The sequence below is a fragment of the Homo sapiens genome, chromosome 15, assembly GCF_000001405.40.
Source record: "Homo sapiens chromosome 15, GRCh38.p14 Primary Assembly".
NCBI classification, from domain to species: domain Eukaryota; kingdom Metazoa; phylum Chordata; class Mammalia; order Primates; family Hominidae; genus Homo; species Homo sapiens.
In genome coordinates, this window is record NC_000015.10 from 56,179,222 (window position 1) to 56,203,109 (window position 23,888).

A 23,888-nucleotide genomic window follows, 5' to 3' on the forward strand; every position below is an offset into this window, starting at 1 on the left:
ATAAAAACCTTATTGCAAAAGGATTTTAATATTAGTTATTTCACTTACCAAAATGCAGTCCACTTTAGATTGTACAGTTTTGCTAAAAGAAAGAGAAAGTTAGGTTAGTAAAATGAAAAGTTTATTAACTATCTGCAATATTCTCAAAAAGATGTGGTAATTTAGTCTTCCTTACTAAGAAAAAAATAAATACAGCTTCCTATTAAGATTAGGGATTGTAGCCTAAATCTGTGTTTTTCACAAAGCAAAACAAAAATCTATTTCCCATTTACTGTACTAAATTTAATCTTAAAGCATGGTTAAAACATTTCCTAAGTTTATTTTGAATAAACAATTAAATTTTTAACAGTGTATAAGTGCAGATTTATTACTATACTTACAAGTATGGCCCAGAGCTTACAATAATTATGATTTTTACTGTCTGCCTGCCACTCTGGACAATAATTTGCTTAGCACTTAAAAGTCATAACGATGTACTACAATCTGTAGCTTGTAAGATTTGATACATAAAAGATTCTGTTCCCTCCTCTCTCTGTCTCAACACACACACACACACACACACACACACACACACACACACACACACACACACCAGTAACAGGAATCCCTAGACATAAAAGCAATAATAAAAGATTAACTAATATAGTAATAAATTGGGAGGGCAGAAAAATACACTTAGAAATAAATAATACAATAAAGCCACTATACATCAATTTAACTGAACTACTGAATATAAGTGAACTGTTAATATATAACACAAATGAAGCCAGTATAAAATAATTTAAACAACTATCCTTTGGATTTTGTTGTAACACATAGGAAAGTGAAAATGCAAAGAAATCGTGCAAAATGTTCAGGAACAGTTTACACACAATCTTTAAAAGATGTTAAAACCAAATTGTCTTCTGTAAAAAGTTATAAAGCCAAATATATGTAAACCAAAATTGGTTATTTGCCTTTGTATGTAGCCATACAGCTAAGCTATAATATAAAAAAAATTAGTATTTAAATCTCATTTAACACAATCATTAATAACAAAATTTTATGCCTGTACCCAGATTTCAAATTTCATTTTCTAAACAATAAAATATGACTGGATTCAGTTTAACTGCAAAGTTCAGAACGACTAAAAAGAGCAAAAAAAAGTAAAGGATAAAGGATAGGTTAAGAGGTACTGAAATCCCCTTCCCACAGTCCTACAAAAGATTTTTAGGTTTTAAAATCTCTTTGTATAGCTTATAATTCATTGGCACCTAACTTGTACTATTTTTTCTCTCTTCTCAATAACTCCCAGTTTCCTCTGAGATGTGAGAGTAATCTACATATTAAGAATTGCTGCTAAAAAGGTAATATATCCAGGATCCAACCATCTCTCATCACCTTGGTCTAAACAGTCATTACTGGCCAGGCGTGGTGGCTCATGCCTGTAATCCCAGCACTTTGGGAGGCAGAGGCAGGTGGATTGCCTTGGCTCAGGAGTTCGAGACCAGCTTGGGCAACACGGTAAAACCCCATATCTACTAAAATACAAAAAAAAAAAAAAAAAAAAGCCGAGCATGGTGGCTTGCACCTGTAGTCCCAGCTACTTGGGAGGCTGAGGCAGGAGAATTGCTTGAACCCGGGAGGCAGAGGTTGCAGTGAGGTGAGATTGTGCCACTGTACTCCAGCCTGGGCAACAGAGCAAGACTCCGTCTCCAAAAAAAATAAAACAAAATAAAGAGTAATTATTTCTTGTCTAAGGTGTTACAATAACCTTTTAACTGGTTTCTCTGTTTCTATCTTTGCCCTATCACCAACCACCACACCCTGTGGGCTACTCCCAACAAAGTGGCCAGAGTGATTCTTTTTGAAGATGACATTAGTCCTTTGCTCCAAAGTCTTTACCATGGCCATAAAAACCCAGTATGACCCAATCCTCTGCCATCTTTCTGATCTAATCTCATACTAGTCTATTCTTCATTCATTCAGCTCTAGCCAGGCAGCCTCCGTGATAGCTCCGCGGCAGGAGTGGGCCCTGCACTGGCTTGCTCTGTCAGCTTCTAGGACTTTTCTCCCATATAACTTATCCCTTTACTTTCTTTGTTACTTGCTCCATGTTATCTTCAACAGACAGTTCTTCCCTGACTTCCCCATATAAAATACTCCCAGTCACTCGCTATAGCTCTCATCCTGCTTTATTTTTCATCATTGCACTTATCACCAGTGATGTTATAATTTTATTAATTTGTTTACCAGCTATCTTCCTTGACTAGAATTTAAGCTTCATGATAGCAGGCTTTGTCTGTTTTGCTCATTGCTGTATCATCTGGTATATGTAAGGAGTTCAATAAAATCTGTTGAATGAATAAATGAAAAAAAAAATTTCAGTCCCCCAGATGAAGAAAAAGTCCTTGGAAAGACTGGGACCACTTAAGAATGAGTTTTTATATAAATTAGTATGAAAATGAAATGTTTATTTTATAACATATAGATCTCAATATATTTTCATTCTACCAGTAACTGACTACTCTATGGGATTATCTAAGGAGGATGGTTCTATCCACCTATCACAAACAACTTGGTAAACCTCTAAAAAATATATGTAAATGATAGCCTTTTAAAGCAGGGTCCCCAACTCTCATCCCTGTTAGGAACGGGGCCACACAGCAGGAGGTGAGCAACCAAGCGCATTACTGCCTGAGCTCTGCCTCCTGTCACATCAGTGGCAACATTAGATTCTCATAGGAGCCTGTGAACCCTATTGTGAACTGTGCATGTGAGGGATCAAGGTTGCATGGTCCTTATGAGAATCTAATGCCTGATGATCTGTCACTGTCTCCCATTGCTCCCAGAAGAGACCACTATCTAGTTGCAGAAAAACAAGCAGGCTCCCACTGATTCTACATTATGGTGAGTTATATAATTATTTCATTATATATTACAATGTAATAATAACATAAATAAACTGTACTATAAATGTAATGAGCTTGAATCATCCCCAAACCATCTCCCCCACCCCTCCATCTGTGGGAAAATTTTTTATCTTCCATGAATTTGGTCCCTGGTGCCAAAATGGTTGGGGACTGCTGTTTTAAAGGACAGAGTTATAAAGAAAATTGAAAGCCCTTCTGGTAGATGAGGGCCCTGGAATCACTTAACTTAGCCCCTTGATTATTTTTACTTTATACTTAAACATAATAGAAAAATATAGATGAATTTTAAGTTCCCCTTTTCTTCTGCCTAGCCTTATACCCCTCCCTACCTTCTCAAAGGCAACTATCATTAATCCAATATGTAAACTTTCCAGTTGTTACTTCAAGTTGTTACTTGTATTAAACAAAAATCTATAAGCAACATACACTGTTCTGTGAAGCTTTTAAATGTTTATGTAAATTCCATCACACTGTACTTTTCTACAATTTTTTAATTCAACATTGTTTTTGAGATCCATCCATGTTGATACACTTAAATGAAATTCATTCATTTTAACTACTAAAAATTATCCCATTGAATGAATAATAAAATTTATTCATCTATTCCTCTACTGAAAGGTAATTATGTAGCTTCCAGTTTTTCTACAAACGATACTGCCATAAGTGTCTTTGTATATGTCTCTTGGCATATACCTGTAAGAATTTCTCAGCTTTAAATCTAGAAGTCAATTTTCTAGGGCTTATAAATGATTTTTTTCTATTTTATTTTATATTAACAAATTTCTCTCAAACACTTGTATCCATTTATACTTCCATTAGCAGTATATGATAGTTCCTATTTTCTTATTACCTTGCATATATATGCCATTTATACATGATATAGGTAATACATATATACTAAAAAGTTACTATTCCAATGGGCATGAAATTGTATTTTTTTAAAAAATTGTCTTTTCCTCAATTACTAGCAATGTTGTGTGCCTTTTTACCTGCCTGTTAGACATAGGGATTTTCTCCCCTATGAATTGTTTGTTCCTATCCTTTGCATATTTTTAAGCGGAGCTATTTCTTATTACATTATAGAAGCTTTATATATTCTGGATACTAATTCTATTATACATATTTAACTTTGTTAATAACTTTTATTAAAGTTAACATTTTTGATCTAGTCAATTTTTTTCCTTTATGAGTTATTTTTATGTCTTATTTAAGAAATCCTATCTAGCTAAGGTTAAAAGCAGTCTATATTTTATTCTAAAAGTTTTGAAGTTAGCTTTTCTCATTTTGATCTTTAATCGGAATTTATTCTTGTATATGGTATAGTGTAATATACAGTATATACTACTTCCATCTGGGAGCCCATTCACTATTTTATTATACTAAATTTCTGTACACGCTTGAATCTTTTTCTGGGCCTTTTCTGTTTTATTATTAATCTACTCACCTATCCCTAAGTTAACACCACACTTCAAATTTATTACTGTTATAAAATTTAGGTCTATTTATTTGATTGCATGACCCCCCTTGTTCATTTCCAAAACAGTCTTGACAATTCTTGGACCTTTGTTTTTCCAGGTGAATTTTTCAATCGGGTTTTCTAATTTCACAACAGTCCTCCTAAACTTTATGTAGGACTTTATTTTTGGACTGTATTAATGTTATAGGTTGAATGGGAGAAGATGACTGATAATTTGCATTTTTTTAATCTGTCCTTAAAATGTCATTTCCTTTCTGAATAAATCTTTTGTTAGAAAGAGTACAAGGCAACTTACAGATGGTATTGTGAATTTTATCTGTGTGTTGATGTTCAGGCAAACTATTGGTTTTCTATGTTGACCTTATCTCCAGCAACCTTCATGAACTCTTATTAGTTCTAACAGCATGTAGTTGTTTTTTTTTTTTTTGAGACAGAGTTTTGCTTTTGTTGCCCAGGCTGGAATGCAGTATGCCATCGCGGCTCACCGCAACCTCCACCTCCCAGGTTCAAGCAATTGTCCTGCCTCAGCCTCCTGAGTAGCTGGGATTAGAGGCATGTGCCACCACACCTGGCTAATTTTGTATTTTTTTTTTTTTTTTTTTTTTTTTAGTAGAGACGGAGTTTCTCCATGTTGGTCAGGCTGGTCTCAAACTCCCAGCCTCACATGATCCACCTGCCTTGGCCTCCCAAAGTGCTGGGATTACAGGTGTGAGCCACTGCGCCCGGACAGTTCTAATAGTATGTAGATTCTCTTGTAGATAATCATTTCATTTATAATTAATATTTTTCTTCCTTTCCAATCTTTATGTCTCTTTCTCCCTTCTTTTTCTTATCTAATTACTTTGGCTAAAATCTCCAATATAATAAAGAGTAGCAGTGATAGAAGATATCCTTGTTTTGTTTCCGCATTAAAGAATTTACTTCTAAACTTTCTGTAATCAAGAATAATTCTGGTAACATCTGTTTTGGTAAATGTTCTCTATCAATTTAAGGCACTCTTCTTTTAGTCCTACTAGTATGATAGTTAAGGCTTTTGTTCTTCTGTTCTCTCTGCCAAGGAACACTCTTCAAAAGTGCTATCTGCCTGGCTTGCTCCCTTACTTTTCTGTGCTCAGTGGTTCAAACGTTATCTCCTTAGAAACCTTCCCTGACTATCTTGTCATTCACGTTGCTTTATTTATCTTTATTATAATTACTGCCACTGGCATTTATCTGTTTGTCCAACATCCCCACTAGCTTATAAAGACAGAAGTTGGTATGATTTGCTTACTACTATATTCCCAACGCAAGGAACAGTACCTGGCAAAGAGGTTTATCTATGTATCTTTTTAAAAAACTAGCTTTGAGTTTTCTTGATCGAGCTTTTTTGACATCTCATCAGTTTTTATTTTTTGTTTTTCTTCTGCATTATTTGTATTTATGCTGTTAAAGTTGAATACAAAACACATTTTCCTCTTAGTTCTTTGTTTTTAATAAGCACACAAAAGAAAGACTTTATCTTTCTATTCCTGAAAAATTTCCATTAACTGGAACCTACAAATTTTGCTACGTAGTATTTTGTTATTTACTTTTAAATATTTTGTAACTTAGTATTTGATGTCCATGTATATGTATGTATTTTATTTTTAAACTATCTACTACTCACCAATTATTTTTTCACTTCAGCCAGGGAATATGGTTTTCATGATGAAAACTTCCTTTGGGACCCAAGTCACAGTCATATTTTTTAAGAATCTATGTATCCTTTAAATAAACCTATATTCTCTATTTATCTGCTAGAGGGATTTCCATATAGATCTATATTTAATCAAGTTTATTAATTATGCTGTTTAAATAATTCATTGCCATTTTATCTACCAGTTTCTGACATATGTTAAATATCCAACTACAACTGGACATTTATTAATTTCTCTTTGGAAGTGTCAATTTTTGCCTTCTTAACTCTAAGACTATACTGCTAAGACTACATTCTATATAAATAAGACTATAATTTTTACATTTTCTTGGTAGTATATTCCTTTAATCATGATCTAGTGTCCTTTAAACTCAGTAATGCCATTTTGTCTTAAGCTCTACTCTGCTGCATATTAATTTTGTTAAACCATCTTTCTTTTTGTTTTCTGGTTTTTACTACTGATGAGAAGTTTGTGGTCAGTCTCCCTTTCTTTGTGTAATTTATGCTTTTTAATTTAATCATGAGTTCATTTTAAGTGAGGATATTTTCTCCATGGAAGTCCTGTATACCTGGATTGGCATTAATTTCTCTCGTGATTTGAAATTTTTTAATTATGAACTTATCTTCACAAAGATTATTTTTCAGAGGAGTCTCATATCCTGTGGGTTACAGAAGCAGTTTCACATTTGTCTCTGCTGAATTTCTAAGGGTTTAATGGTTCCAGACCAATTTGTATACGGATTTATTGATTTAGAGTCCTTGTACCAGAAGGAAACTGTTATATCAAATGAAACTCCACATTCATCTACAAAACAGGCTTAAGGCTCTGGTTCTCATATTTTACCCTTCTACATGCCCTGAGCAAACAGCAAGCTTACCTGAAACTTCCTGGGTCTGTCTGTGGGTTCCCTGTTTTAGTCCTATTTCACAGGTAAAAATCTCTCTTCAGGTTCTATGCTTTAGTTCATCAGTTCCAACTACTTTGTGAGGGCACAGAGTATGTGGCCTAGACATTCCTATGAACATTAAGACATCAATCCCCAGCATTTAAGGTCTGTATGAGGACATGAAAACCACTATGGGTCATTTAGAAATTAGTTCCTGCTTACGACCTTTCTTAAGTAAGCTCCCCTGATTCCTTGTTACTAGCACCTATGAATTTAATTTCTCTTTCTTGATTTGAAGCTTTTATATACGTATATAACCTTTCTGTATATATCTTATCAAAAGTTTATGTCCGGAGTGTGGGGTGAAAATCCTGCCACAAGAGCTCAACTATACTGTCTAGGAGTCTTTTATTATATGGGTGTATACATATACTATATGTATACCTATGAACTGTATACATGTGTGTATGTGTATATATGTATAATATACACACATATCTATACATGTGTGTATAATAAACACACATATCTATACATATATGTGTGTATAATAAACACACCATAGTTTTATACCAGTGTTAATGGAATATTTTTGAAAACTTCCCCCAAATTCCACCACTACAACCAATAAACTCTTTCCTTCTTTCCCATATTCTCTCCTGTATGTATTCATGAACATATCTAATTTTTAACACAGCTATAATCAAAGCAGGGTATTATTTAAATTTACCAAAATCATGTTCTACTAAGAGTCTTCAAATTTTTAATGTAATGTATTTTTTGTAATATTCCATTTAGTGGATGTTTCAGTTTCCTGAACTAACACCTGAATATACTTTGAGTGTTTCAATTAAAATAATGCTTCAGTGTTCTGCTTCAGATAACGACAAGTTAACATATATTAAAATAAACTTGCTACACATAACAATTATACATTCTGGACAAAATATAAAAACAAACATTAAATCAAAAGAGTAATCAAAAGCAGGAAGCAACTGGAAGGAAGTTAGCCTTAAATGAGAAAACTGTACTGGTAGAATTTTTTTTTTTTTTTTTTAGATGGAGTCTTGCTCTGTCACCCAGGCTGGAGGGCAGAGGCACGATCTCAGCTCACTGCAACCTCCGCCTCCTGGGTTCAAGTGATTCTCCTGCCTCGGCCTCCTGAGTAGCTGGGATTACAGGCGCATGTTGCCACACCTGGCTAATTTTTTGTATTTAAGTAGAGATGGGGTTTCACTGTGTTGCCCAGGCTGGTCTAGAACTCCTGAGCTCAAGCAATCCACCTGCCTCGGCCTCCCAAAGTGCACTAGTAGAATTTTTATAAGGCTTTTGCCTGAGGGTACTTATCAGCCCATGTGGCAATGGTCACTTAGACTGAAGCAGGAATCTGTTGTCTTGCTAGCTTAAAAAGGACAAAGTTTGGGGTTGCCAAGGCAGCTTAAAAGTGAAAGGTGAAATCCCAGAAAGGAAAGTGCTCCAAAATTTCTATATGAACTACGCCCAGTATTTGAATGACCCTAGTTTGAGGAAGACTCCAAGGTTCTTCACAAAAAGAAACAGCTGGAAGGTGGAAGGATTTGAGATGAGATTTCTGCTGCTGCCTGTCACAGAAAAAATAAAGTTGGGGTTTGAATCCAGCCACATTAGATGTCTACTAAAACAAAAAGTCAACACTCATCAGAGAAAAAGAACAGAATCCAAAGTCTATAACATATCACTGATAATGCCCATTACACAAGCAAAATACACTATAGTGAACAAACAGGAAAAAAAGACCTAGAGTCAAGAGAAAAAGCAGCTCACAGACACTAAATCCTGAATGATCCAAAGTGTCAGAATTAGCAGACAAGGACTTCAAAGCAAGTATTATAAACATGTTCAAGTATTTAAAGGAAAATATGGTCATAATAAATGTTCGCATGGGGAAATCTCAGCTGAAAAATGGAAGTTATGAAAAAAACCAAATGGAAGTTCTAGAACTTAAAAGTTATAATGTCTGAAATGAAAAATTCATTGGATGACCTTAATTTGAGATCAGATGGCAGAAAAAGGGTCACTTAACTGGAAAATCAATAGGTCTATTGAATGTGAAGAAAAGATTTTTTAAAAATAATAAACAGAGCTTCAGAAATTTAAAGTGCAATATCAAGTGGTCTAACTATGTACAATGGGAGAGGAGAGATAATGAGACAGAAAAATATAATGTTTAATAAATGGCCAAAGTCTTCCCAAATCCTATGAAAAACACAAACTTCTAGATCCCAGAAGTTCAGCAAATTCCAAGCAGGATAATTATAAAGAAACCCACACATTGTCAAAAGGATCAAAAAACAAAGATAAAAAGCACACTGTGAAAGCAGCCAGAAAAAAGTAACATTGCATGCAGTGAAAAAGTTGTATGAATGAAACCTGACTAATGATACCTGACTTCTACATAGTAAACTGATTTGCAGCAGAGGTACCAAAGCAATTCGAGGGACAAAAGAAAATCCTTATTACAAATCCTGGTGGAGTAACTAGACACATCTGTAAACAAATGTACAAACCTCATACTATAGAAAAATTTGAGCTGAAGCTTAAAGTGTCTAGAAGAAACCATAGGAGAATATGATGTGAGAGCTGACAAAGATTTCTTAGGGTTACAGAAGCAATAAACATTTTTTTTTCTTTTTCTTTTTGAGACAGAGTCTCACTTTGTCACCCAGGCTGGAATGCAGTGGTGCGATCTCGGCTCACTGCAACCTCCACCTCCGGGGTTCAAGTGATTCTCCTGCCTCAGCCTCCCCAGTAGCTACGCCACCATGCCCAGCTGATTTTTGTATTTTTAGTAGAGATGGGGTTTTCCCATGTTGGCCATGCTGGTCTTGAACTCCTGACCTCAGGTGATCCGCCCATCTCGGCCTCCCAAAATGCTGGGATTACAAGCGTGAGGCACTGCGCCCCACTGCAATAAACATTTTTAAAAAGGCTTTGGGAAGCCAAGGCGGAAAAATTGCTTGAGGCCAGGAGTTTGAGACCAGCCTGGGCAACACAGTGAGACTCTATTTCTACAAATTTTTTTTTAAAAAGCCAGGCGTGGTGGTGCATGCCTGTAGCCCTTAGCTACTTGGAGGCTGAGAATTGCTTGAGCCCAGGAGTTCAAGGCTTCAGTGAGCTCTGATCATGTTACTGCAATTCACCCAGGACAACAGAACAAGACCCTGTTTCTAAAAATAAAAATAAATCAGACCCCATCGAAATAAGAATAAACTTCTATTCACTGAAAGACATCAATTAAGACAGTAAAAAAAAAACAACTACATAAAATACTCGAAAAACATATCTGACAAAAGACTTATGCCCAGAATACATAAGGAACTCCTACAACTCCATAGTAAAGACAGGTAACTCAATTAATAAAGAGCAAACAACTGGAATAGATATTTCACAAAAAAGGTACACAAATGTCCAATAAACACATGAAAAGATGTTCAAGGAACCAAGCCACCAAGGAAATACAAATCAAAATCGCAACAATACACCAGTAGGAGGCTTAAATTTAAAATTCCAAAAACCCAAATATTGGCAAGGCTTTGAAGCAACCATAGCTTTCATACATTTATGGTGGGAATGTGAAAGGCAAAACCACCTTGGACTAGTTTAGCATTTAGACATAAACCTACCATAAGTATTTATCCAACAGGAATCAAACTAGATGTCCACAAAACAGATGTTGAAGAAAAAGAATGTTCATAGCATCTTTATAATTCCAAACTGGAATCAATCCAAATGATGTCAATGTAAGAATAAATAAACGCTTTGTGGCATAGTCACACAATGGAATACTACTCAGCAATTAAAAGTAACCCATACATACACAGAGGAACATGGATGAATCTAATAAATATTATACTGAGCCATATAAAACACCTAGAAAAGTTCATTCTATATGATTTTACTTATATGAAGTTCTAGAGTAGATAAAATTAATCCATGGTAAAGGAAAAATTAGAAAAAGTATCTGTCTCAGGATGAGGCTTCCCTGCTCACTGGGAAGGATCATGTACAGACAACATAATGCAATGCTCCATTTCCCCTTTTCAGGAAAGAATTTTGTCCACTGCTGGGAGTGCAGTGCAGTGCAGCACAAAGCCATGGGTGTCTGTCAGCATTCAGTGTCTGTACCCTTGGGTATGATTGCTTAGGCTGAAGGAAATATCACTTCTCAAGGTCATACCAATTTCCAGGGACAGCCCATATCTAGACACTAATCAACATGGGGATATTAAGGCCCAGCCCCTTCCCCCAACCTGGGACAGCTTTGATTGGTCATTCTATCTTCAGAACTCTTCAGCATTACAGTTCAACTTCACCTCTGCCCAAGCTGTTTCCTTCCCATCCATTCCCTTCCATAGATATGAATCACAAAAGCATTCCCTAATAAAGCAGTTCTTAAAAAAATATGATTCCTGGACTAACGGTATCAGTATTCCTGGGAACTAGTTAAAATGCAAATTTATGGGTCCCACTACAGACCTACTGAATCAGACAGCAGAAGCACCATCTACACATGAAGAGCTTCCTATCAACTTTTTGTGCCCCACTCTTAAACATACTCAGATGGACAGACAACTGGAAAAAACTCTCTAATATGAAAGACAGGAAAAAAGGGGGTGAAACCCTTACTTGGAAGAAATAACACTGTGCAAAAAGAAAACAAAATTTTAATCCTCACAAAGGTTAAGGGAAGACACGGCATTCAAGAAACACAAATTGGATACTATATACATATATTTTTAAAGTATATTCAGAAAGTTAAAAAGAGACATCTTAGAAATTAAATCTATTTAGGCTGGCTATTTTCTGTTTGCTCTTTGAAATCACTCTCTACCCTCTGTGATAACCCAGGAAGCTGGACTTTTCACCATCAGTAGGGCTCCCTTCCTCTCTGGCCAATTTTTGTCACTGGACAGAGGTAGGGATGTAAAAGAAGAGAAAGCACCTGGTTCTCTCTGACAGGCAATGAGTTAGTGGTTTGGGTAACTGTGGTTTTTGTTAGCATGTTTTGTAATATCTTTTTGAGTCAATAAATTATAAGTTCCTAAAGCTTTGATTAAAAAATTAAATATATGAAAATTCAAGTAAATAAAATTTCAAATAACAAAACCTCAAAGTTATCAAAAAAGAAATGGAATTACCTATAGACAAAGGAGTTAGAAGAATATATTTGCAATTATCTATCTTTTTACCATTACTCCAACTAGTTAAGAAAGCATTTTCAGCAGCTGGAAAGATATGCACAAAAATACACGTATCACTCAATAATAAACCACCAATGCACATCTGAGCCTGCACTTTATAAAAGCAGATAACATTTGACTTTTAAATATTTCATAATTTAAATGTTCATTTATTATTTTGGGGTTTCTTAAACATTTTTATTTTATACATGTTTATTTCAATTCAAATTTTGACAGACTAAAAGACTGTATTTTATTAGTCCATTTATAGGCAATTTTGCAACACTGATTTCTTGTGGGAAAAAAAAACCAGACAGATAGTAATTATTACGATCTGTGGAACTGAATGACCAGGAAAACCGACCTCTTACTGCAAACCAAGCACATGGAAAGCCCACCCATGCAGCAGCAGTGTCTTGATGATCAGCTGAATGGAGATATAACATCTTATGTTGTGCCCAGAAGGTAGGGTAAGGCTCAAGGCTGCAAGGGGCAAAATGTTCTCATAAAGGCAAGATTCAGGTGCTGCTTGCTGAAGCACTCCACAGACACACCCTGTCTGTCCCAATGGCTTGTGACTGCCACACAGCAACAATGAACACAATATACTCTCACTCTCACTCTCAGAGCAAGTATCTTCCCCTTATGAGAGAATGAATTCAGGCAATTCTTTACAAAAATGACAGCATTTGTTCCAAAGCACCAACAGTATAACGCTTTTTAGAAAATACACAGAAATAAACAGACTAAACATGGGAATTAGTTCTTAATGGTGGAATCTGTTACTACTGTATCTAGCGTAATAATAACTTCGGATAGATTACAATCAAAATGCTTATCAAATAGACTGTGCTGTGTGAGGGAATGTCTGACCAAAGAGTATTCTCACAGGCACTTTGGGTGCTGGCTGGTAAGCGCTCACAGGGATTCTTCTCAGTGCCAGAGAAGCTGAGCATCACATGTATTTGTAAAATCCTTCTCCAGACTTCTTGCCAAGCTTCTTCTCTGCCATCAGCTTTTTCAAGGATGGGCTGGGCTGAAATATGGGGTTCTTTGTATCTATTTCATGCCATCCATCCATGATGAACTGCACAGAATCCAGCCCAACGTAATCTAGAAGCTCAAGTGAGCCCATGGGGTACCTGGCTCCTAACTACATAGCAGTGTCAGTGTTCTCCTTGGATACATCACCTCATTCATGCAGCCTGACTGCTTCCATGAGGTGTTGAATCCTGAGACAGCTGACAATAAACCCAGGAGTGTCCTTGCAAGGAACAGGATGCTTTCCCAGGGTTTTGCTCAAGTTTACCAAAGATTCAAATGTCTTTCGGGTGGTCACTGGTGTTTTAAAGACCTCTACAAATTTCATCAGGGGCACTGGGTTGAGTAAATGGAGGCCAGCAAATCGGTCTTGTTTGGTGGTAGCATTGGCTATGCTTGTAATTTGCAAAGAGGAAGTGCTGCTGGCAAACTTGTATGTTCAGCAACAAACTTGTCCAACCTCTTGGAGAGCTTGATTTTCACCTTTAGATTTTCTACAATGGCCTCTACCACTAGGTCTGTGCTGTGGACTACGGATATTGCATCTGTGCTGGTTGATATGCTGCTTAGGGTTTTCTCCACAAATTCATCAAAAGCCTTAGGGTTTTCTACAAACAACTTCTTTGTCACTTTCCTAAGGCTTTTCTCAATTCCCTCTTTATATTTTGCCAAGATGTCCTCTGTCTGGTCTAGCAACACTACTGTGTGGCCGGTCACTGCAGCAACCTGTGTGATGCTGATGACCATCATGTGCTTGATGATGATTTTTCTTGCCCAAGGTTGTGGACAAGGAAGACAAAGAGTGCATGAACTGCCTGGTGATGAAAGCCATGGTGCAGTGGCGGCGGCGACTGCAACAAGACCCAGGCAGGAAAGGCGCGTGTGGTGTTGGGACCAGCAGACGGGCAGCCTCTGAGGCCATTTTCTATTTTTGAATAAAATGATACTACTAATTTTATCTGCAAATAAGTTTTGTTCAAATGACAATGTATGCTCAACATTAATATTTTTCTAATTTTTTAAATTGATGATTGTTGATAATTGATAATGACAGGCATTGAACTTCCTGTTTTGCTGATTTTTAACTTTTACAAAAATTTTAATTAAATAGTATCAGTCTGGTATTTTGGTATTAGATTTTAAAAAACAAAATTTCAGTACCATAATTGTGCTGTGGTATCATAACTATTACATTTATGGAACATGCTAACTACTCATCTTCTAAATCTTTCAAGATTTACATCTCAAGTCATATTACCAGAATGTTATTGATATAAAGTAGTAGGGAAGAGGGGGAAAACATCAGCAATAAAGCAGATAAAAATTTAAGCAACAGAGATGGCTTGAGAAAGCATATTGTGTTTTCTCTAAATCAAACTATAGGGTGAAGCTAGATAAAGCTTTCTTATCCAGGGGGGCTACACAAAAGAAATAATAAATTTTAGGAAGCATGTGTTTAAAAATTAAAAAAACTTAGTCTAATCCTACTTTCTCACAAAGAAATGTCACAAAAATACCATGTAACATTTCCCTTTATTCAAATTTAAAGATGATACAATAAATAAATTAGCAGTCATGGGCCAAACATATATAATATATAATACAATGTAAGCAATAGTATCACAGAAAGAACATTTAGATATCTTGTTTGCTAGAAACATTTCAGAAACTTTCCCCAGTTTCAACAAATCATTGATAAACTATTTTTTACTGCAGAAAATATTCTAGGAGACTCTCACTTGTCCCTTCCAACACCAAGTTTAGCCTCTATCCAAAAGTTCAATGCTATTTTTACATTTATTTGGAGTCCTCAAGTCTGAAGTCAGAGTGACTCACAACTCCTATATACTTGATTCAAATTTCTTGTGTTATAGAAACAGAGGTATCTGTGAATACCAGATACTAGATTTAACCCAAAGACAATCTGAAATAGAGGAGGTATACTATAATAGATCAACGAGAAGAAGCTCTTACATTCTATCCTTACCAGGACAAATCAAACTCTTAGCTTCTACCCCTATAAAATAATTAATTCCGTTAAAAACACATTGACTTCAGATCCCTTTTGTAGGTTGTGACTTGGCTCGCAGTCCATCATAGCAAAACTTATTTTTACCTTATACTTGCTTATATTAAATGAAAACTATTTACTTTTACTTTTGTTTGCTCATATGCTATAAAACAAAATTTTTTATATTTAAAAAAATAATAATAGTCATAATAGTGGCTAATGCTAAAAAGGTGTAGCCAGAAAAAAAGGAAATAAAAAACATTCGGAATCACACCATGAAGACATTTAAATTCACTTACTTTGTCTTCTTAAAAATAATGGATTCTGTTGGTAAGGATGGGGAGAAATTGGAATCCTTGCACATTGCTTGTGGGAATGAAAGATGATATGGCTGCTCTTGAAAAACTTGACATATCTTCAAAAAGCTAAAACAGAGAATTACCACTTGACCTAACAATTCCACCCAAAGAAATAAAAATAGGAATGCAAACAAAAACCTCTACACAAATGGGCTGATGTTCATAGCAGCACTGTTCACAAGAGTCAAATGGAGGAAACAACCCAAATGACCATAAGTGGATGAATGGATAAACAAAATGTGATATATTATTAAAATGAAATATTATTCAACCATAAAAAGGAATGCAGTATCAACAAATGCTACAATATGGATAAACCTTGAAAACTTTATGCTAAGTGAAAGAAGGCAGACATAAAAGGTCACATATTGTATGACTCCCTGTATACAAAATCTCCAGAATAGCTATATCCAGAGAGATAGAAAGCAGATGAGTGGTTGGTTGGGGTTGCGGAAATGAAGAGTGACTGCTTAATGCATATTCCTTTTGGATGATGAAAAATGTTCTTGAACTAGATAGAGGTGATGGCTACATAACACTGTAAAGTTACTAAATGCTACTGAATCATACACTTTATGTGGTTAATTTTTATGTTATTAATTTTACTTAATAAAAAATAATTAGGATCATAAAATTAAGAAAAAACTTCCTTTAGATACTACTAGTGCCTAATCAACAGATTGCAAACTATCAATTCTGTTTCTCTCTGTAATCCAAGTTGCCTTTGAAATAGTCATTGTTCTTAGTACTTGCCTGCTCTTATGAATTTTAGAGACTCTACTTTTCATGAAAGGAAATTAACCAAAGACCCGTGTTTCTCAACCAGGTACTGACATTTAGGATGGCACCCTGCTTTACTTTATGGGTTTATCAAATGCATTATAAGATGTTTGGAATCATACAGTGGTGTTCACTAAATGCCAGCAGTGCTTCCTAGACATTCTGACAGCTAAAATTGCCCCACATTATTTCCACTTGTTTCTAGTTGAGAGCCACTGCTCTAGAACAAAATGACATATGCTATGTATTGTGTTACATTATAAGAAGTTCCCTAATATACGCAACTCAATGCTCTACAAATGAGTCATTTCAAAAGCTCACACGTTTTTATGTATGGAAAGTAAACATCTTGCTTTTGACATAGGATGCTATAAAGATTTATTGATTTTATTGTTGTTCTAAACATAAAATCTAATTTCAGCCAGAAGAATGAACTTTATCATAAGGTAACTTGTGCCTGATATTTGATTACTAGATCATATTACACAAATGAATTTTCAACTTCTATTAATAACATTATTTCATTCATATATTTTCTTTGCTTTTTAAAAAATATTATCAGGTTCCAAATATATAGGAAAGTTATAAAGAATAATATAACACCCATGTACCTGCTAGCCAGTTTGAACAAACTTCAACTTTTTCCTTTTTTCTTTAAGGAAGAAAACTTTACAGATAAAGTCCCCATGGGATCTTTTCCTATCTCATTCCACCATTCCTTTCTCAGTGGTGACCGCTATCCAGAAGTTGTTATTATTCCCATGAATGTATATACATTTACTACAAATGCTGACTATCTCCATAAACAATACAATAGTTTTGTTTACTTCACAGGCATGAAGTTCTGCGGCATGTATCACTCTTTTTTTTAAAAAAATTTACTTAATAGGCATTAGAAGTTTATCTATTTTGATACATTCTAGTTTACCCATTTTAACTGTTACATAGAAGTGTGGATTCAATTGTGTGTCCAGACCCCTCCCCAAATTTGTATGTTGAAGCCCTAACCCCCAAGTGCTGTATCTGATGGAACGGATACAGCACTCGGAAGGAATCAACCCTGCTGGCACCTTGATCTTCGACCTCAAGCCACCAGAACTGGTAAAAATAAAATAAAATAAAATAAATTTCTATTAAGCCATCAAGTCTGTGGTACTTTGTTATGGTTGCCCTAGCAAACTAATATGCACGGTATTCCATTGCTTTATTTATTCTTTAATAATGGGCTCTTAACGGTATTTCCAGCTCTGTACTGTAACATACAACATTGCAACAAATGTTTGGTATGGAGATCTTGTTATTCATATTGCAGGACTTTTTCTTGGACACATACACAAATATTCGCACACACACTACAGTATGTTGATCTTCAACTTTCTAATTATTGCCAAATTGCCTTTCAAGGTAATTTTGGCCAATCTATACTCCATCAGCTGTGTATAAGACTGATTTCTCTCTATCCTCTCCAAAATTGGTAATGACAGACTTCTGCCAATCGGATGGGTATGAAATATTTTGTTTTAAAATGCATTTTTTTTAATCAGTGATGTTGAACACCTTAATGTATTTGCTGATCACTAAGTTTTCTTCTGTGAATTGCCTACTCATATCCTTTACCCCTTTTTCTGCATGGTGGTTTTTATTATTTTATTTACTAATAGAAGCTCTTTTTATACTTTAGATACTAATCTTTTGTCAACTACTTGAGTTACATCGCCATCAGCGGCATGTTGCTTTTTTTAAACAGTGTTCATTGTCCAAGGAAAATTTTTATTTTAATATAGTCAAATATTTTTCTTTATGAAAAGTGCTTTTGACATGTTTTTAAAAATCTTCCTTACCGTGAGCTCCCAAAGTTATTTTATTTTCTTCTAAACTTTTGCTTTTCACATTTGGGGGCTGAGTTTTTCTGGATTCCATGTGTGATGTGATAGTTTTTTTTTCATATAGATAATGAAATGTCCCAGTGGGCCATCCCTTCCCTTGCACACAAGGCCTATGTCTTGTTAACCTGCTTCCTAAGTCTAGCACTTTGCCTGGTACACGTTAGGCAATTATAAACATGTGACCAATAAAAGGAAGGATGGAAGAAAGAGAAGGGAGAGAAAGGGAAGCAAAGTAGGGATAGGAGTGTGGAAAAAAAGTATTTGGATCATGGTCTTTGATACAAACTATATATTTGAACCACAGAAGTCAAAGGGTATTAAAACAGATTCAAGGGGTGGACTGCAGGAAGATGGGCTTTCCAGGATTCTGGAATGCTAGAGGTAAATATACCACTTAAGTGCATCTGGGCACTGACTCTGCTTTCTCTCCCCCAGGATGAGAATATGGTCTTGCTAGTGCTGAATTAGTTCAAAATCCAGAAAATTGTGATGTTATAAATATCATTTATTAAGTCTTTGCAGAATGTTCAAGAAAGCCTAGGTACAAAAAGGCAATGATATATTCAGAACTTGATACAGCAATGCTAGCTGAACCTTTCTCGTAGGGACGGTGGCTATATGTACCACAGGAAACCTAAAGAGATGGGAAAAACTTTTTTAGATATACTGTATTTGCTGCTATTCAGAATAGTCACTTGGTTTCTACATTCTTAACTAAATAATTTAGGAGCATACAACAGGTGGGTAATAGCCTCTTCCCAACAATCCCTAACCTGAAGTTCAAAGGTGGAATGCTGTAGTGGAGGCAGTATAAAAAAGAAAAAAAAGAATGGGACCTAGAATGACTTTTGCCTCAGACGCCCTCAAAAGAAAAACATCTCTCCCTAGAGCAACGTATGTCTAGTTCAGTATAGTCAAGGAAATATGTTCCATTAGAGTAAAAGGGACTCAGCCTCCCAATGTAAGTACGCAACACCACCTACAAAGTATTCTTGCTGAAATATTGAAACATATCTCTATTTAACTACCAATTTATAGTAATAAAGGGGAAGAGGAATATGCTACATAGCACCATGAAGATAAAATCAGCAAATCCAGACTGTGGGAAACTCCATAGGACAAAGGATCCAATTTCTTCAACAAATAAAAAACTTCAAGAAAAAATTTTTTAAAGGGATCTACAGTTTGAGAGATATCCACCAGTAGCCATAAGGACACTGATTCAAACAAACTGTAAATGTGATATGATGTCTGGGATTCCCTTCAAAATAACCAATGAAGACTTACAGATAAATAAGATTAGCTATGAAACTAATTGTTAAAGTTGAATAATAAAGACCTGAGAGTTCATTGTCTTTTCTCTCCTTTTGTATACATTCGAAATTTTTTACAATGAAAAGTTAAAAGAGGGGACTGGGTGTGGTGGCTCAGGCCTGTAACCCAGCACTTTGGGAGGCCAAGATGGAAGGATCACTTGAGGCCAGGAGTTCAAGACCAGCCTGTTCAACATAGCAAGACCCCATCTCTGACAAAGAAAAAAAAAAAAGTTAAAAGAGAGGAAGGACTTAGCAGATCCTTTTAAAAGGAAAAGCAAATAAACCATGTAGGACCTACAGCTAAGAGACTGCAGTCTGACACCTAAAAACCTTCTGATGTTGATTTAAACTGTGAAAAACTTAAAATTTACAAGAGAAGGCTGTAAATCAAAGATTCAACCACTATAACCAGTCTACTGAGTGACTGTTAATCAGTATTTACTTAAGTTACCACTGAGTGATACTGAAAGAATATTATTTGAAAGTGTAGGATATAATGACTCATTTTTGCTTTCTAATGAGTTATTTTCCTTTTTTGCTGTCCTTCCACGTATAGGTATCTTTCCTTACGTGATTGCTGGTTGCTCCAAATGCTGAATTTTACCATTGTAATATTTAAAAATAGCTAATTTGCTCTAACAGGATTGTAAAAATATGTATTTTGGGGAGGCAGAGTACTGAACAAATTGTGCTGCTCTCTTTAGCCTCAATCTATATGCCTTCCCTGTTTTCTTTAATGCAAGCATTTTCAGGTTGATATTAATATTAAAAGCTCAAAGAGTCAACAGGATTCAAATATGTCAAATAACAGGAAAGCATTTGCACATATAATATACTCCTTAAAGTTAAGAAGATCTTCAAATAAATTTATTTAGTAAGAAACACCATGGTAAATATAGCAGGAACCAAAAACATGGTCTTGACAGGAAGAATTCCAATTCTGCAACTACTAGCTATATGCCCTTGACTTAGAAGAATCATTTTTCCCGAGGCATACTACATCTCGAGTTTTTAAAATAAAGATTCAACATTTACATAAAAAGCCATATTGTAATAACAAGCATGTAATAGGTTCTTAATAAATGCTACATTAAAACTAAATCTAGTCTAACCCTTTCATTTACAAATTAGGATAAAAAATGACTTGTACAAGGTCACACACTGATTTTTATTTGGCTCCATTATCCAGTTAAAAATGCTATGATTATGTCTGATAATAATGCCTCCACTTTACACTGGGATTTTAATCAAGAAGAATATTTTGTGCCCCAGTCTTACCATTTTGGAACTTCCTCTGTCATAGAAACATTATATATTGTCAGTAAATAAGCTGAATTAAAGGTCAGTGCCCTCTAGTGCTGAACCTTCAGAGGTAGGTGCAGGTTCCAAATACAGGCAAATTTACCTAGTCTACAGAACAGGAAACAATCTCCATAAAAATAATGAAATGAAAACATGAGATAGCTACATGCACAGCGACCCATCTGTAAGGATGACTGTTCTCTCTGGGAGATGAGATTTTAAGCCTTTACTTTCTTTTCAAACATTTAAAAAGCTTTTAAAACTTTTTGTTATTGTTTAAGTTTTTATAACATATAAAACATTTAAAAAGAAGCTAAAACACAGGGCAAGATAACATCACTGGATTGCACAGTGGGGAAAACAACTCTTCTTCTCCTACTGCATAGTTTCAGAGGAAGTTACAAACCATGCAGCTTAGTATCTAATGTTACATTAAGAAAAAGTCGTAAAAGTGCTGTAATCCCAGCACTTTGGGAGGCCGAGGTGGGCGGATCACGAGGTCAGGAGATCGAGACCATCCTAGCCAACATGGTAAAACCCTGTCTCTACTAAAAATACAAAAATTAGCTGGGTGTGGTGGTGCATGCCTGTAATCCCAGCTACTCGGGAGGCTGAGGCAGGAGAAATGCTTGAATGAGGGAGTCGGAGGTTGCAGTGAGCAGAGGTCGCACCACTGCACTCCAGCCTGGCAAGCCTCGCCGTCTCAAAAAGAAAAAAAAAGAAAAAGTTGTGTCAGAGATAAGGCAGATCTTTAAATTGAGAAAAACAAGAGGATAAATGTGACTTCAATTTTTTGAATGTACTTTAGGTGCCACTAATAGGTGACATGCTATGTATGTACAAGTCTTTTTTTTTTTAACTGAAAAGCATTAAACCAGCCCATGGTATTAGGTGCTTAAATGATTATAAAAAAGAAAACCAAAATGGAAATGGTTTAGAGAGCTGAAGTTAAAATGAGAATTCCATTAAGGTGGCATATCCAGGTAATGGTGCTTAATGGGAAGACTACGGACTATACCAGTGTCTCATATAAATTAATATGAGAACATTTCTTAAAACTGTAGCTAAAATGGCCTACAGGTATACTTGTAAGACATGACTTATTACTCTTTTCTAGAGTTAAGAGTTTATTAGGGCAGTAAAGGGTTCAGTATCCCAAATCTGGTCCAAAAAATAAAGTCGCCAAGTTCAATGTCCTGTAGTCCTCCACTTAAACCCAAGAATCACAGAACTTTTCTTATCACAAAAGGCAAAACAATTCGAAAACCAATTTGATAGTTAATATTAAAATTCTCTTCCACAAGGCAGTAATAGAACCAAAGGAAAGAAAATCCAGCCTAAAAGCATTTCAATCTATAAAGGAGAAGGCTATCTAAGGAGATCAAAAAATTACGAAGTAATCTCCTCAATGTTCAAATGATGCTCTAGAGAGGAAGATACCAAAACTGATATATTTTTAAAGATAGAAGAGTTATTAGTGGAAATAGGTAAAATAATTTATTAAGGATATAGTTAGATACGTCTAGATTTTTCATTTTCCTTCCTGTGCCTAAAGCATAATTCTATGTAGGAATGTCTGGTAGTAGTCTCTTTTTGGGCTACTTCAAAGCGATGTATGGATAAGAAATCATTTGTTTTTTGGCCAAAAGTTTAAAAAACACTGGCCGGGCGTGGTGGCTCATGCCTGTAATCCCAGCACTTTGGGAGGCCGAGATGGGCAGATCACGAGGTCAGGAGATTGAGACCATCCTGGCTAACACGGTGAAACCCCGTCTCTACTAAAAATACAAAAAAATTAGCTGGGCACGGTGGCGGGCGCCTATAGTCCCAGCTACTTGGGAGGCTGAGGCAGGAGAGTGGCATGAACCTGGGAGGCAGAGCTTGCAGTGAGCTGAGATCGCGTCACTGCACTCCAGCCTGGGCGACAGAGCGAGACTCTGTCTCAAAAAACAAAACAAAACAAAACAAAACAAAAACCACACAGCCACACAGAAAAACTGCCAAGTAACACAATTTTTCCCCAGACCAGAAAGCTTTATAAAAACCTAGATAATCAGGCTTAGTCTCTGAAACCTATCACTTCGCGGGAGAAGTGCCTACAGTCTCACTATCCAATAGAAATATAATACAAACCATAGAAATCTTAAATTACCTAGTACATTAAGAAGTAAAAAACAGATATTACATTTAGTAAAATATTTTAGTGTGTCAAAATATTAACATTTTGATATGCAATGAATATAAATATTGAGGTACTTAAGATCTTTTTCATACTAAGTCTTTGAAATCCAATGTGTATTTTATACTTACAACACATCTCAATTTGATTTAGCCACATTTCAAGTATTCAACAGCCACATGCAACTAGTGGCTACTGTACTGGACAGTGTATGTCTATGGCACAGCATGTCTCATGAGCTATACTTAAAAGTTTGGGCCAGCAGCTATAGCTCACACCTGTAATCCCAACACTTTGGGAGGCTAAGGCAGGAGGATTGCTTGAAGCCAGGAGTTTGAAACCAACTTCGACAACACAGCGAGACCCTACCTCTACAAAAAAAATAAAATAAAATAAACGAGCCAGGTGTGGTGATGTGTGCTTATAGATCCAGCTATGTGGGATGCTGAGACAGGAGGATGGCTTGAGCCAAGGAGTCTGAGGCTGCAGTGAGCTATCATTGTGCCACTGCACTCCAGTCTGGGCGACAGGGCAAGACCTTGTCTCTAAAAAAGAAAAAGAAAGTATAATGACTGTCTCAGAGGTGAGCATACAGAGACAAAAGAGGTCATCTGTTATTCTGACAGGGCTTACATCCAAAATGTACATAAAACTGCCAATCTCTTGGGTAGAGTGCCATCAATCATGATACATGCAGATTAATTCCTTTCTAGATTTTACTAGGACAGCAAAGTGATCAGTATCTCAATATCTGCCCTCCCCCCACCAAAAAAAAGTGACTAAGCTAATATCTTATTGCTCTTCACTTAAAACCAAGAATCACAGGCACAGATCATAAGGCATT

The 23,888-nt window shown here is 35.8% G+C and overlaps 1 protein-coding gene and 1 pseudogene across 9 annotated transcripts in view; both read right to left on the minus strand.

Annotated features, from left to right (window-relative positions):
• Window positions 1-23,888, minus strand: part of RFX7 (regulatory factor X7) — a 157,803-nt gene that overhangs the window by 91,942 nt on the left and 41,973 nt on the right. For 4 of the 9 annotated variants that reach the window (NM_001370554.1, NM_001368074.1, XM_047432949.1 and 1 more), the window contains exons 1-2: window positions 10,614-10,711; window positions 49-82 (exon numbers count right to left, since the gene is read on the minus strand). The exons of 1 other annotated variant lie outside the window; for it this stretch is intronic. Coding sequence is in view for 3 of the 8 variants with exons in the window: in NM_001370561.1 (NP_001357490.1) it covers window positions 49-82 (34 nt within the window). In the remaining 5 variants the exon portion in view is untranslated. 4 more of the 9 variants (NM_001370561.1, XM_047432948.1, NM_022841.7 and 1 more) reach the window with 2 other exon arrangements.
• Window positions 12,363-14,087, minus strand: LOC390586 (hydroxyacyl-CoA dehydrogenase pseudogene; annotated as a pseudogene).